General features: G+C 49.0%; 1 pseudogene, besides 1 other annotated feature; it reads left to right on the top strand.

The window, feature by feature from the left end:
* Positions 1-3,255, top strand: part of ENPP7P14 (ectonucleotide pyrophosphatase/phosphodiesterase 7 pseudogene 14) — a 37,893-nt pseudogene extending 34,638 nt beyond the window's left edge.
* Positions 15,263-15,802: a silencer, noted in NCBI's record as "silent region_7174". NCBI's record gives its function as "represses an Ori minimal core promoter by ATAC-STARR-seq in GM12878 lymphoblastoid cells {active_cell/tissue: GM12878}" and the evidence as "EXISTENCE:reporter gene assay evidence [ECO:0000049][PMID:35858748]".

Genomic DNA, 15,860 nt, shown 5'->3' with positions numbered 1-15,860 from the left:
GCATGCTGCAGCCATTTCTGCCAGACTGGGGTCCCTGATCTCAATTTCCCTCTGTGGTCCCTAACTCTGGGTTCTGCAGACACATTTCAGATCCATCCTTAGTACCTCCCAGGAGGCAGAAGCCAGAGGAAATAATCCTTGCCCCAATGCACCTGACCATGCCACCTCACTGCATGCTCTTTCTCCCTCTCCAGGAAAAATCAAGCTTGTTGAATACTTCCCAATGTGCCCACATGCATTTAGTCTTCACAACCACTTCATGGGGCAGCATTATCATCCCCAAGTTACAGACAAGGAAACTGAGGAGAGCATTTATATAACATGCATCTAACTGGTGGACAAAGGATCTAACCAGGCAGTGCGGCACCAGAGCACACTTTTTTGTTCTTTAGGGAGGTGGGGTCTCTCTCTGTCCCTCAAACTGGAGTGCAGTGGCCTGATCATAGCTCACTGCAGCCTTGAACTCCCGGGCTCCAGCAATCTTCCTGCCTCAGCCTCCCGAGTAGCTGGGACTACAGGCATTCACCACCAACCCAGCTAATTTTTTAAAAACATTTTTCTAGAGATAGCGTCGGATCCCAAACTCCTGACTTCAAGTGATCCTCCTGCCTCAGCCTCCCAAAGTGCTGGGATTACAGTCGTGAGCCCCCGCACCCAGCCCAGAGCACACTTTTTTTTTTTTTTTTGAGACGGAGTCTCACTCTGTCACCCAGGCTGGAGTGCAGTGGCAAGATCTCAGCCCAGAGCACACTTTTAACCACCATATCATTCTGCCTCTGGGTAGGTTAGTCAAGCTCTGTAGCTCATCAGATGTCTGTAGAGAGAAGGAGACATCAGTCTCCCCTTCTTCCAAACACCCCCAAATTTTACAAGTGATTTTCTCAGATCCCTCAGCATCAGGAATGGGGATGAGCAGGGCAGCCTGTCCCCTTCCCAACAGCCCAGCTGATATTCCAAGATTACATCTCATTGGCTCTGACTAGGACATGAGCCCAAAACTGAACCACTTGCTGTAGCCATGGCATGCAGCATCCTCGGTCCTCTGGCCAGGCCAGAGCCACACCCCACCTCTGGATCCTCAGGTTGAGTCAATACATCTTGAACCAGGCGCGGACTGAAGCTCAAGGGGGAGTCAGAGTAATGTGACCCAGCCCAGCAGGTAGTGGGTGCTGAGCAGGCAAGCATTCATCACCCACTGCACACACCAGGGAAGGCTTGTGGTGGCTTAGTCCCACCTGGGGGCAAAGAAAAGAGTGCCTGCTCCATGCCAAAATGTGATGCCCAACACTGTATCTTAAAGCTAGCTGGCTTTGTAATCCCAGCTACTTGGGAGGCTGAGGCAGGAGAATCACTTGAATCCAGGAGGCAGAGGTTGCAGTGAGCCAAGATCACACCATTGCACTCCAGCCTGGGTGAAAAGAGAGAAATTCTGTATCAAAAACAAACAAACAACAACAACAAAAAAAAAAGAACAAAAACAAAAACAAAAAGAAGCTAGCCGGCTTAATCCTCACAAAGATGCCATCTACTTTTTGGCATTCTACAGGTAGAAACACTTAGACACTGGGAAATTTTAAAACTCACCACCAGCTGGGCGCGGTGTCTCACGCCTGTAATCCCAGCACTTTGAGAGGCTGAGGCAGGAGAATTACTTGAACCCAGGAGTTCAGGACCAGCCTGGGCAACAAAGCGAGACCTCATCTCTACAAATATTTAAAAAAAAAAAAATTAGGGCTAGGCACGGTGGCTCACACATGTAATCCCAGCACTTTGGGAGGCGAAGGCAAGTGGATCACTTCATCCCAAGGGTTCGAAACCAGCCTGACCAACAAGACAAAACTCTATCTCAACTAAAAATACAAAACTTAGCTGGGCATAGTGGCACGTGTCTATAATCCCAGCTACTTGGGAGGCTGAGGCATGAGAATTGCTTGAACCCAGGAGTCAGAGGTTGCAGTGAGCTGAGAACATGCCACTGCACTCCAGCCTAGGTGAGAGAGTGACACCGTGTCTCAAAAAAAAAAAATATATATAGGTATGGTGGTACATGCCTGTGGCCCCAGCTACTCAAGAGGCTGAGGTGGGAGGATCGCTTAAGCCCAGGAGTTCAAGGGTGCAATGAGCTATGATTGAACCACTGCACTACTAGATATACACATATATATATGTACATGTATATAGGTATGTCTATATATACACATATATATATATGTATATGTGTGTATATATATGCATATATATATAAAAAACACACATGCACAGATTCACCACAAAAAACTCAGAAATTACCATCTCCCTCTATTCTAAGGAATTATTTTTCATTTTGCCATCTCTGAAGTTGGAATACACCTTACAATCACTGGAATGTCACGGTCTCATTGGCAGCATTTTTCTGCTTAGTAGCCCATAAAATAATAGCACATCTTGTAACTAACAGTGTTGTAGATGCTATGAGATCCTGGGGAAGCCCAGAATCTAACTCCACCCTGTCTGACTCCAAAGACCCCATATTTTCTATGTCTTTGGACTGGGGCACAGATGTAGACAATTGAGCTTTGCTGATTGTGAGAAAGGTATGAGAAATGGCCCTGATGGAATTTTCTTCTTGTATTTGCAGGGGAACAAAGCAGCATCATCCCACTATTCCAGGGGAGGTGCTAAATACGACGGTGAGGCTGTCAAGCGGTCCCTGGTGGAGTCCTACACTCACCCAAACAGCAACGAGACAGAGTGGAGGGAGAACATCGATACCGTCATGAACTGGTTCACCAAGGAAGACTTTGACTTTGTGACTCTGTGCTACAGAGAGCCAGATAACGTGGGACATCGATTCGGGCCAGAGGCAGAGAACAGGAAGTTGATGATTCAGCAAATCGACAGGACCATCGGGTATCTGGTAGGAGCCACAGAGAAGCACAGCCTGCAGAGCACCTCAGTGTCATCATCACATGAGGCCATGGGATGACAACCATGAAGAAGAGACCCAATGTCAACAAGATCCCCTTGTCCTACTACGTCAAGTTCAGGGACCTGGTCAAGTTTGATATTGTGGGCTACGGTGGCTTTGGGATGCCCCTACCCAAACTGGGGCAAGAGGAAGCCCTTTACCAGGCACTGAAGAATGCGCACCGTCACCTCCACGTCTATAAGGAGGAGTTTCCAGAACACTTCCGTCTCGCTAAACATGACCAAGTTCTGCCAATCGTGATGTATGCCAACTCTGGTTACAGTATCAATGGGGTAAGTTCATTCTAAAATGAATAAAGTCACCTTGGATCTAGGAGACAACCATTAGGGAAGGGTGGTTCTGCAAAAATCAAACATAAGTGCACAACCGGGCACGGTGGCTCACGCCTATAATCCCAGCACTTTGGGAGGCTGAGGCAGGTATATCACCTGAGGTCAGGAGTTTGAGACCAGCCTGGCCAACATGGTGAAACCCCATCTCTATTAAAAATACAAAACTTAGCTGGGCGTGGTGGCGTGCATCTGTAGTTCCAGCTACTCTGGAGGCTGAGGCAGGAGAATCGCTTGAACCTGGGAGGCAGAGGTGGCAGTGAGCCAAGATCATGCTACTGCACTCCAGTCTGGGCAACAGAGTGAGACCCTGTCTCAAAAAATATAATATAATAAAACAAAACAAAACAAAATAAAATAAAATAAGTGCACACACTACGAGTTGTAGCCCACAGGGTCCTAAATGTTCCCCACCCCCCGCCCAACCAATGCTGCCCCAAATTACCATTATACAAGATTAATAACCAATTCAACTTGACAAGGCTGATTTAAAAATAAAAATAAGGCTGGCCATGGTGGTTCACACCTGTAATCTCAGTGCTTTGGGAGGCCAAGACAGGAGGATTGCTTAAGGCCAGGAGTTCAAGACCAGCCCGGGCAACACAGGGAGACCCCCATCTCTACAAAAAACAAACAAATAAATAAATAGCCAGACATGGCGATGCATGCCTGTAGTCCCAGCTACTCAGGAGGCTGAGGTGGCAGGATTTCTTGAGCCCAGGAGGTCAAGGCTGCAGTAAGCTGTGATTGCACCACTGCACTCCAGCTTGAGCAACAGAGCAAGGCCCCGTCTCTAAAAAATAAATAAACAATAAAAAATAAACACCAACTTCATTATTCAAAATTGTGCATAGCGCTTCACTAAACATTGAATAGCAGTTCTTTCATTTTGCCTGCCCAACAACCCTATAAAATAGATGCTCTTAGTTCCACCATTCTAAAGAAGAAATTGAAACCTAGAGAGAAGTGACTTGAGATTAAAAATGTAAGGTTGGGCTGGGTGCAGCGGCTCCCACCTGTAATCCCAGCACTTTAGAAGGCTAAGGTAGGTAGATTGCTTGAGCCCAGGAGTTTGAGACCAGCCTAGGCAACACAGTGAAACACCATCTCTACAAAAAATGCAAAAAAAATGTAGCTGGGCGTAGTGGCACGTGCCTGTGGTCCCAGCAACTCAGGAGGCTGAAGTGAGAGAATTGCTTGAGCCCGGGGTGTTGAGGCTGCAGTGAGCCATGATCACGCCACTGTGAGATAGGAGGCAGGACTTGACTTCACAGGCAGGGCTTGGACACCAGACCAAACTGAGGACTAGGTAAAACAGGGCTGGGGCAGAAGCAGCTTTCCATCAGACATGCCCACCAGTGTGCCATGTGAGTTTACTATTGCCATGGCGACACCCGGGAGTTACTGCCCCTTTCCATGGCAATGACCCAATGACTCAAAAGTTACTACCAATTTTCTAGAAATTCCTGCATAAACTGCCCTTTAATCTGCATGCAGTTAAAAGTGGGTATAAACGTGATTGCAAACTCTCTTCCGCTACTCTCTGACTCCAGGGTAGCCCTGCCCTACAGGAGCAGTCACAGGGCTGTAACGCTGCCCCTTCAATAAAGCTGTTTTCTTCTATACCTCCAGCTTGCCCTTGAATTCTTTCCTGGGCAAAGGCAAGAACCCTCATGTGCTATTGAGAGGTGACAGCGTGCTGGCAGCCCTGGAGCTCACTATTGGCACCTCCTCTGCCTGGGCTCCCAATGTGGCAGCACTTGAGGAGCCCTTCAGCCCGCTGCTGTACTGTGGAAGTCCCTTCCTGGGCTGGCTAAGGCTGGAGCCGGCTCCCTCAGCTTGTGGGGAGGTGTAGAGGGAGAGGCGCTGGCGGGAACCGGGGCTGGGCAGGGCGCTTGCGGGCCAGCGCGAGTGCCGGCTGGGCGTGGGCTCCGTGGGCCCCACATTCGGAGCGGCCAGCCGACCCCGCCGGCCCTGGGCAGTGAGGGGCTTAGCACCAGGGCCAGCAGTTGCTGTGCTCGATTTCTCGCCAGGCCTTAGCTGCCTCTCCGCAGGGCAGGGCTGGGGACTTGCAGACCACCATGCCTGAGCCTCCCCCTCACCCACCGTGGGCTCCTGCGCGGCCTGAGCCTCCCCAGTGAGCACCGCCCCCTACTCCACAGCACCCAGTCCCATAGACCACCCAAGGGCTGAGGAGTGCCAGCGCTGGGCGCAGGACTGGCAGGTAGCTCCACCTGTGGCCCCAGGGCGGGATCCACTTGGTGAAGCCAGCTGGGCTCCTGAGTCTGGTGGGGACTTGGAGAACCTTTATGTCTGGCTAAGGGATTGTAAATACACCAATCGGCACTCTGTATCTAGCTCAAGGTTTGTAAACACACCAATCAGCACCCTGTGTCTAGCTCAGGGTTTGTGAATGCACCAATGGACACTCTGTATCTAGCTAATCTAGCAGGGACTTGGAGAACTTTTGTGTCTAGCTCAGGGATTGTAAGCGCACCAATCAGCACCCTGTCAAAACGGACTAATCAGCTCTCTGTAAAACAGACCAATCGGCTCTCTGTAAAATGGACCAATCAGCAGGATGTGGGTGGGGCCAGATAAAAGAATAAAAGCAAGCTGCCCCAGCCAGCAGTGGCAACCCACTGGGGTCCCTTTCCACACTGGAAGCTTTGTTCTTTTGCTCTTCGCAATAAATCTTGCTGCTGCTGACTCTGGGTCCACACTGCCCTTATGAACTGTAACACTCACTGCGAAGGTCTGCAGCTTCACTCCTGAAGCCAGTGAGACTACGAACCCACCAGAAGGAACAAACAACTCCAGACATGCAGCCTTAAGAGCTGTAACACTCAACTTGAAGGTCTGCAGCTTCACTCCTGAAGCCAGCGAGACCAGGAACCCACCAGAAGGAAGAAACTCTGAACACATCCGAGCATCAGAAGGAAAGAACTCCGGACACGCCGCCTTGAAGAGCTGTGACACTCACCGCGAGGGTCCACGGCTTCATTCTTGAAGTCAGTGAGACCAAGAACCCACCAGTTCCGGACACACTAGGCTCCACTTGGGGGCTCCCCTGCCCTGCATCAGCTGAACTCTGGCCTGGGTGGCAGAGAGAGATACCCTATCATTAAAAAAAAGAAAGAAATGTGAGGTTAAGTGCTGCCCCCAAGCCTGCGTGGGTGATCATTATACAGAGTACACAAAGATCACAGAAAAATTCACCACAAAGGCCTCCTGCCACTGGTTCTCATTTGCCCATATCAAAAAATATGCAAGCCTGTTCCTACAAAGACACACACAGATGCTTGTAGCAAAATTATTCATAATTGTCAAAAGGTGGCAACAACACAAATGTCTATCAACAACAGGTGAATGGGCAAACAAGTACAGTCTACCCGTGTGATGGAACATTAATCAGCCAAAATATGGAATGAAGGGCTGATTCATGCTACAACCTGGATACACTTTGAAACCATTAGGCTAAGTGAAAGAAGCCAGACAAATATTAGATGACTCTATTTATATATATATATATATACACACACACACACACATATATATACACACATATATATACACATATATACACATATATATATACACATATATAATATATGCCCAGAATATGAAAATCCAAAGAAACAAAGATTGATGGTTGCCAGGAGCCAGGGGTGGGGATAGTCAGGGGAAATAAGGGGTGACTGCTAATGGATACAGGGTCTCTTCTGGGGTAATTAAAATTTCTAAAACTGATGGTGGTGATGGCTGCACAACTCTGTGAATATATTAAAAACCACTGAATTATACACTTTATTTATTTATTTAGAGACAGGGTCTGGCTCTGTTGCCAGGCTGGAGTGCAGTGGTGCAATCTCAACTCACTGCACCCTCCACCTCCCGGGCTCAAACCATCCTCCCACTTCAGCCTCCTGAGTAGCTGGGACTACAGGCACACCCACCATGCCCAGCTAATTTTTTTGTATTTTTCGCTGAGACAGGGTTTTGCCATGTTGCTCGGGCTCATCTCAAACTCTTGGGTTCAAGCGATCCTCCCACCTCAGCCTCCCAAAGTGCCGGGATTACAAATGTGAACCACCATGCCCGGCCAAATTGTACACTTTAAATGGGTAAATTGTATGATATGTGAATTATATTTCAGTAAGGCTGTTATTAAAAAGCAGCTTTAAGGGCCAGGCATAAAGGCCATGCCTGTAATCCCAGCACTTTCAGAGGCCAAGGCAGGAGGATCACTCGAGCCCAGGAGTTCAAGACCAGCCTAGACAATATGGCAAAACCTGGTCTCTACAAAAAATTTAAAAATTAGGCTTGGCGTGGTGGCTCACGCCTGTAATCCCAGCACTTTGGGAGGCCGAGGTAGGTGGATCACTTGAGGTCAGGAGTTCAAGACCAGCCTGGCCAACATGGTGAAACCCTGTCGCTACTAAAAATATTTTTTAAAAATTAGCCAGGCATGGTGGTGGGTGCCGAGGCTGAGGCAGGAGAATCGCTCGAACCCGAGAGGTGGAGGTTGCAGTGAGCCGAGATTATGCCACTGCACTCCAACCTGTTGGGCGACAGAGCGAAACTCCATTTCAAAAAAAAAAAAAAATTAAAAATTAGCCAGCGGTGGTGGCTCGTGTTTGTAGTCCCAGCTACTCAGGAGGCTAAAGTAGGAGGATTGCTTGAGCCCAGGAGGTTGAGGCTGGAGTGAGCGAAGATTGCAGCACTGCACTCTGGCCTCAGCAACAGAACAGGACCCTGCTTCACAATTTTAAAAACAATTAAAAAACAAGCCTAAAGAAAACACAAAAACCAATGCTAACTGTGAGACATAAATGAGGTGGTCTATATTTTGTTAACTACCAACTAACAATTGATGGCAGAAACAAAGCTTAAATGATGCTATAGCTGGGCACCGTGGCTCACGCCAGTAATCCCAACACTTTGAGAAAGCTGAGGCGGGTGGATCATCTGAGGTCAGGAGTTTGAGACCAGCCCGGTCAACATGGTGAAATCCCGTCTCTACTAAAAATACAAAAATTAGCCAGACGTGGTAGCGGGTGCCTATAATCCCAGCTACTCGGGAAGCTGAGGCACGAGAATCGCTTGAACCCCGGGGGAGCGGAGGTTGCAGTGACCCAAGATCGCACCATTGCACTCCAGCCTGGGCGACACAGCGAAACTCCATCTCAAAAAATAAATAAATAATGAAATAAATGATGCTATAAACCTCATGTGAGGGAAGACTGTCCCAGGTAGAGCTTGAAAAACCCTTGCTGTGAACAGGAGCCAAATGCGATAATTGTGTTTGCAACTTGCTTCATGTTAGCTTGTTGCAACTCCAGAGTGTAACAGGTATGAGAAAACTCATGGGGTTACTGTTTAATGTTGGTGGAAATATTCACATTAAAATACAACAGTTTATCACCTAAGGCATATTTTATCCCTCAAGTGGCCCGGAACCCTGTGATTACTGCACGCCAATCCCACGCCCATAGCTAAGGCCTTGCCAAGGAGAAATTCCACAGTCACCTGGCCTGTTTGTAAACCTGGTTTATGATGTTTTGTAACAGGATATCCTGACAGTAGCATGAGGACATTTAACGAGACAAGAACATTCCCCACTGACCAACCAGATAGTTTGAGGGAACAGGATGCTGTGCTCAGTTTAATCTTCTGCTGAACCGACCATTAGGCAGAAAATCCTTTTGGTCAATGCCTCTCACTGAATCCACTTCTCAGATTCCTGTCCACCTGCCTGCTTTGTAGTGCAGAGTAAAGTGGGCCTTCCTTGACTCTCTTCAGGGACCAATGAGCTTGAGGCCATCATGAAGACATTCTTTTTTTTTTTTTTTTTTTTTTGAGAGAGTCTCGCTCTGTCACCCAGGCTGGGATGCAGTGGTGTGATCTCAGCTCCCCACTGCAACCTCTGCCTGCCAGGTTCAAGTGATTCTCCTGCCTCAGCCTCCTGAGTAGCTGGGATTACAGGCACGCATCACCAGGCCCAGCTAATTTTTCTATTTTTTGTAGAGACAGGGTTTCACCATGTTGGCCATGCTGGTGTCGAACTCCTGACTTCAAGTGATCCACCTGCCTCGGCCTCCCAAAGCGCTGGTATTACAGGTGTGAGCCAACGTGCCTGGCCGTGGGCTTTCATTCTTGATGGACTGCTCCATAGCCGCAGAGACAGTCGGACTGGTTTCTTAACCAGAGCGGAGCAGACAGGCAATTTCTTTATCCACCAGGACAAATATTAGACCAACTCTTCAATGTACAGAGAGCATCACATTTCTTATATGCTAGAATATCTGTTGGTCTAAAATATAAATAAATAGTATTGTAGCCAGCCACAGTGGCTCACACCTATAATTCCAGAGCTTTGTGGGGCTGAGGCAGGAGGTTCACCTGAGGTCAAGAGTTTGAGACCAGCCTGGGCAACATAGCAAAACCGCCCCCACCCCCCACCGCCACCTGCCATCTCTACAAAAATTAAAATAATTAGCTGGGCATAGTAGTGTGGGCCTGCAGTCCCAACTACTTGGGAAGCTGATGTGGGTGGATCGCTTGAGCCCAGGAATTTGAGGCTGCAGTGGGCTATGACTGCATCACTGTACTCCAGCTAGACCTTGTCTCAAAAAAAAAAAAAAGTGTTGCAATTGACATTACTTCATCATTTGAAAAGAGGGACAGACAAGAAAGGTATTTGGCATTTACCAAGCAATTACCCAGAATCCTCATCCCACCCTACACCCACCCTTCCCCTAAAAATGTATGTATATGTTTTTGTACCATAAAAAATACATCTATTTGGCTCTGGAACCAGATTGCTTGGGTTCAATTACCTGATCTAGCATTTGCTCCTGTTGACTCAATGCAAACAAGCTCTGTAACTCATTTTCCCCAGCTGTAAAATGGGGAACGGCAGCCTGGGATAAGCTGCGTCTGACTGTCAGTTACTAATAAGCAGGATATCCCACAAACAGATTTTCAGCGAATTGGCTTTCAGCAAATTGATCATTTGGCAAAGTGGTCATTAGGCAAATGGGTCATTTGGTGAAGAGGTCATTTAGTAAATCGGCTTTCAACGACTTGCCCTATGAGATTTCTCTAGAGTGAGCATTTTCTTGGGTTAAATGTACATTTCATTTCCATAATGAATACTCACTAGCGGCTAGATGGGAAACTTCCCAGGAAACCAGGAGCAGCCAGAAGAGCCTCTTAATAATCAGGCAATTAAAAACCCTCTGGTTTCTTAACAGGAGGGAGGTACAGACGGCATCTGCTCTGCAAGGCGCAGTGATCGGGCTCAGCATTGTCACAGGAGCTCTTGCGGTTCTGTTTGTTGCTAGTGTGACATACACAGCCATTCATCGGAAAAAGGACTGAGTGGTCTTTGGGTCTCCCATAGTTGATCATCATATGTCGTGATAACCCATGACAACTCCTTGCCACATGCCACGGGAGGTCCAGCACTCCAAGAACCCAGCAGCCAGGGCCGGCTTCATAGGCTTGCAACCTGGACAGTCCCACAGGGACACAGAAGAGTCCCCACTGTGGTTTAATAATCTGCCATCACCATCTTCAAATTCTTTATTTTTTAACAAGGGTGGCCAGGGATAGTGGCTCATGCCTGTAATCCTAGCACTTTGGGAGGCCAAGGCAGGCAGATGGCTTGAGCCCAAGAAGTTTGAGACCAGCCTGGGCAACACAGCAAGACCCCATCTCTACAGAAAATACAAAAATTAGCCAAGCGTGTAGTCCCAGCTACTTGGAGGCTGAGATGGGAGAATTACCTGAGCCCAGGGAGGTCGAGGCTGCAGGAGGTGAGATTGTACCACTGTACTCCAGCCTGGATGACACAGCGGATTCTTGTCTAAAAAAAATAACCACAAGGCCGTGCACGGTGGCTCATGCCTGTAACCCCAGCACTTTGGGAGGCTGAGGCAGGCGGATCACTTGAGGTCAGGATTTTGAGACCAGCCGGCCAACATGGTGAAACCCCATCTCTACTAAAATAGAAAAATTAGCTAGACAAGGTGGCGCATGCCTGTAATCCCAGCTACTCAGGAGGCTGAGGCAGGAGAATAGCTTGAACCTGGGAGGAGGAGGTTGCAGAGAGCCAAGGTCGCGCCATTGTACTCCGGCTTGGGGCACAAGAGTGAAACTCCATCTCCAAAAAAAAAAAAAACCACAACACAACAAGGGCCCCGCATGTGACTGAAAACAACAGAAATGTATTGTCTCGCAGGCCTGGATGCCAGAAGCCCAAAATCAAGGTGTCGGCCGGGCTTCGCTTCCTCTGAAATATGTAAGAGAGAATACTTCCTTGCCTCTTCTGGCTTCTGGTGGCCGCTGGTAATGCTTGGTGTTCCTTGTAGATGCATCGCTCCCATCTCTCCTCCCTCATCACATGGCTGCCTTCTCCCTGTGTCTCTGTCTTCACCTGACATTCTCCTCTTTTATTTTTTTGAGATGGAGTTTCCCTCTGTCACCCAGGCTGAAGTGCACTGGCACAATCTTGGCTCACTGTAACCTCCGCCTCCTAGGTTCCGGTGATTCTCCCGCCTCAGCCTCCTGAGTAGCTGGGATTACGGGCGCCCGCCACCACGCAGTGCTAATTTTGTGTTTTTAGTAGAGATGGAGTTTCACCATGTTGGCCAGGCTGGTCTCGAACTCCTGACCTCAAGTGATCCACCCACCTCACCCTCCCAAAGTGTGCTGAGATTACAGGCATGAGCCACCATGCCCGGCCCTCATTCTCTTCTTTTATCAGGACGCCGGTCATTGCATCTGCCTCCTCACCAGCAGCCCCCAATCCAGTACGATTCATCATTACTTGATTACATCTAGAAAGACCCTATTTCCAAATAAGGTCACATTCCTGGGTACGGAGGATTAAGATTTCCAATTTTTTCCCTGACTCAATTTTTTTTGAGTCAGGGCCTCACCCTGTCACCCAGGCTGGAGTACAGTTATGTGATTATAGCTCACTACAGCCTCAAACTCCTGGGCTCAAGGGATCCCTTGACCTCAGCCTTCCAAGTGGCTGAGACTACAGGCGCACACCATCATGCCCAACTAATTTTTTTGGTTTTTTGTGGTTTTTTTGTACAGGTTAGGTCTCACTCTGCTCACTCTGTTGACCAGGCTGGTCTCCTGACCTCAAGTGATCCTCTTGCCTTGGCCTCCCAAAGCACTGAGATTACAGGCGTTATCCCGTGCCTGGCCCTCTTTCTACACCTCAGTCATTGCATCATTAGCCTGAGCTGCGCATATTCCTTATTCTACCCATCCCTGACCAACCTCCTCCTTTAACATAACTTCCACCTCGATATCATGGGGCCTGCTGGGCACTGCAAACAGCCTAAGGAAAGTGGAAACTTTACTTAACCTTCAATTCTATTGCAAAGTCCACATTGAACGTAATTTATATTTGAACTATAAAATTTTCTGTAAGTTGAAACATGACCTATAAAGGTCTCTACACCCTGAAGCAACGTTTTAGAAAGAAATCAATTGGTCCTTTTCTGCAGAAACCATTAACCATAGGAGAGATAAAGGAAAAACTTCAATGGACTGATTGAACTTCCATGCCCATAGCTTAACTTCTAAAAGGCAACCATTCCATACTGTTAAACTGCCTTAGGTTGTTATTACTGTTATTAAAGAGACCCTCAAAGCCGGAAGTTGAATCTCGACTGTAGTTCTTGCACGTACACGCAAACTCTTGCAACTGAAACCAGCTTGTCCTGATGCTGCTCCCCGTAGCAACACCGCCTGGAATTTCACGTTTGTTTTTAAGCATCAGTCCTAATCTTCACTTGCACCCGAACACACCGCACCTGTGACAGCCACGTGACATTAAAAAAATCCCTTCAGTGAGGCCGGGCATGGTGGCTCACGCCTGTAATCCCAGCCCTTTGGGAGGCCAAGGCAGATGGATCATGAGGTCAAGAGATTGAGACCATCCTGACCAACATGGTGAAACCCCGTCTCTACTAAAAATACAAAAATTAGCCGGGCATGGGGACGCGTGCCTGTAGTCCCAGCTACTCCGGAGGCTAAGGCAGGAGAATCGCTTGAGCCCGGGAGGCAGAATTTGCAGAAGCCGAGATCGTGCCGCTGCACTCCAGCCTGGCGACAGAGGGAGACTCTAGACTCTCTGAAACAAAAAAAATCCCTTCAGTGCCTTGATCCTTCCAGATTCAGATCCAAGAGAGATGACATTTGTCCCTCATCTGAACCCGCACACCAAGATAAAGATTTCTTCTGGCCAGGCGCGGTGGTTCACGCCTGTAATCCCAGCACTTTGGGAGACAGAGGCGGGCGGATCACCTGCGGTCAGGAATTTGAGACCAGCCTGGCCAACGTGTTAAAACCCTGTCTCCACTAAAAATACAAAAATGGCCCGGCATGGTGGCTCACGCCTGTAATCCCAGCTACTCGGGAGGCTGAAGCAGGAGAATCGGTTGAACCCGGGAGGTAGAGGTTGCAGTGAGCCGAGATTGCGCCATTGCACTCCAGCCTGGGCAACAAGAGAACGAAACTCCGTCTCAAAAAAAAAAAAAAGAAAAAAAGATTTCTTCTGTGCTCATGGCTCAGCTCTGTGGTCTGCTAGGGTCCTTCCTCAATCTGCTTGCAATCTATGGAATCAGGAAAGACTGAACCAACCTAGATTTATTAATATTTTAGTATAACATAATACAGTGTTACTTATTACAGCATTGACCGTATATGCCCTTTTGCTCCTTGGAGGAAAGGCAATTAATAGCTATTATGTGAGTTAATAAAATAAGCCCAGGATTTATGAGTGTAACTAACTTGTTACCATTGGTTTTCCTTGTCTCCTGCAGGCAGAGAGCTGATCAAAACAGCAAAAGCAAAGCAGTGCCCCTGGCCCAGTTCTGAAGCCAACCTTCCTTAAGCACCCAGACCCATCCCTGGTTAGGACTTGCTGTGGATTATCAGGTGACTCTATCTCAGGATACAGGGACTGAGAGGGTGTATGCAATATCTCAGACCCAGAAACTGTTGATTCTGTCTAAAAACACAGCAATAACCACATCCCACCCTCTTGATTTAAATGAAAGTGTTTGGGGGAATAAAAGATGAACCTTTTTTTTTTTCTTTGTCAGATCTTGAGCTCATTTGGTTCTGGTGGGGAACAACAGCTATGCGAGAACAAGTGTATTCTATTAGAATTAATTCCCCTCTTATTCTCATAGCTGAGCAGGGCTCAAGAGCCTCTCATCTGAAAGAGGTAATAAGATTTAATCTGTCTCCTCATCTACCTTCTGCAAGTATACTTTACAAATTAGCTCTCGGGACTCTTCCAAATGGAGTTTTATGAGGGATTTGCTAAGGTAAACGTTTTAGACTTTGAACACAGTTCAGATTTCAGGGGCAGTACTGAAATCTGAACTGTGTTGCTAACTGCCCTGCCTTTCAACTCAAGACACAATAACTTTGAACTAAATTAATTATATTTTTGTTGTTTTCCACTCTGTCCCCACGTCTATATCACCACCACCCCCAATCCCACCCCGCAGGAGCTAACTCCTCCTTCCTGTCCCTGCAAGATCAAAACTCCTCCTGCAAGCCCCGCTAGCTCTGTCTGCTCGCCTTCGTGGCAGATATCGCTATTGTACTTTTATACTCATTTGTGTGATAAATACTTCAATGTCCACTTCTTCCACGAGCCCCTGAGCCCCTGGAGGGCCTGGACCACACCTAGTTTTTCTCACCGTTACATCTCCCTTGTCAGGTACCTGGTAGGCGCTTAATAAGTATTTGGTGAACGAATGGCTTGTTTGGTGACAGTCCAAAGGCTGGGGGACAGAGGGAAAGCTCCCTCCTTTCGGACCCCAGACGGGTGGCGCTGATGGAGAGGAGGCTTGGATAAGGCCTCCAGGACCGAAGCGCGCACCCGTAGGGCCCCTGCCAAAAAGACCTTCCTGAAGGCGGAGGAACTGCGAGAGTGCCTACGTTGGCCCAAGGCCTGACCCGACGATCCCAGGGACCCTCGCCCTAACCGGCCCCGCCTCCCGGTCCCCAAACCCGGACTCGGCCCCGCCCTAAGCTCCGGATCCTGGGGCCCGCCCCTGGCCCCGCGTCGGCAGACCGTGGCCTCGCTGCTGGGCCTGCCTCAAACCCTCCACAGGTAACGCCTCCCGAACTTGAGCCACATTCCGATCCCCTCCTCAAACCCCTCCCCGTTTCCCACGCCCTGGACCCCTCGCTCCGTCTCGGCCCCGCCCCAAGCCCAGCTAGGTCTCGGCCCCTGAGCCCAGCCCCGACCGGCCTCCCAGTCCCTGGGTCCCTCCCGACACCGGCCCCTCCCTAAGCTCCGCCTCCCAGGGCCCGCCTCCTGAGCGCAGCCCGCAGCCCGGACTCGGCCCCGCCTCCCGGACCCTGGGCCCCTCCCCACGTCGGCCCGTCCTAAGCTCCGCCTCCCAGAGTCCGAGCACCGCCTGGCCATGTGCTACGACATAGTCAACGCCCCGCCCCGGCCCCGCCTCCTGAGCTCTTCTCTGGGTCTGGCCTTAGCGCCGCCCTAAGACCTGTCT

This window comes from Homo sapiens, chromosome 16, assembly GCF_000001405.40.
Source record: "Homo sapiens chromosome 16, GRCh38.p14 Primary Assembly".
Lineage (NCBI taxonomy): Eukaryota > Metazoa > Chordata > Mammalia > Primates > Hominidae > Homo > Homo sapiens.
The sequence above is the reverse complement of the archived record's forward strand: the minus strand, read 5'-3'. Positions and strand labels throughout refer to the sequence as shown.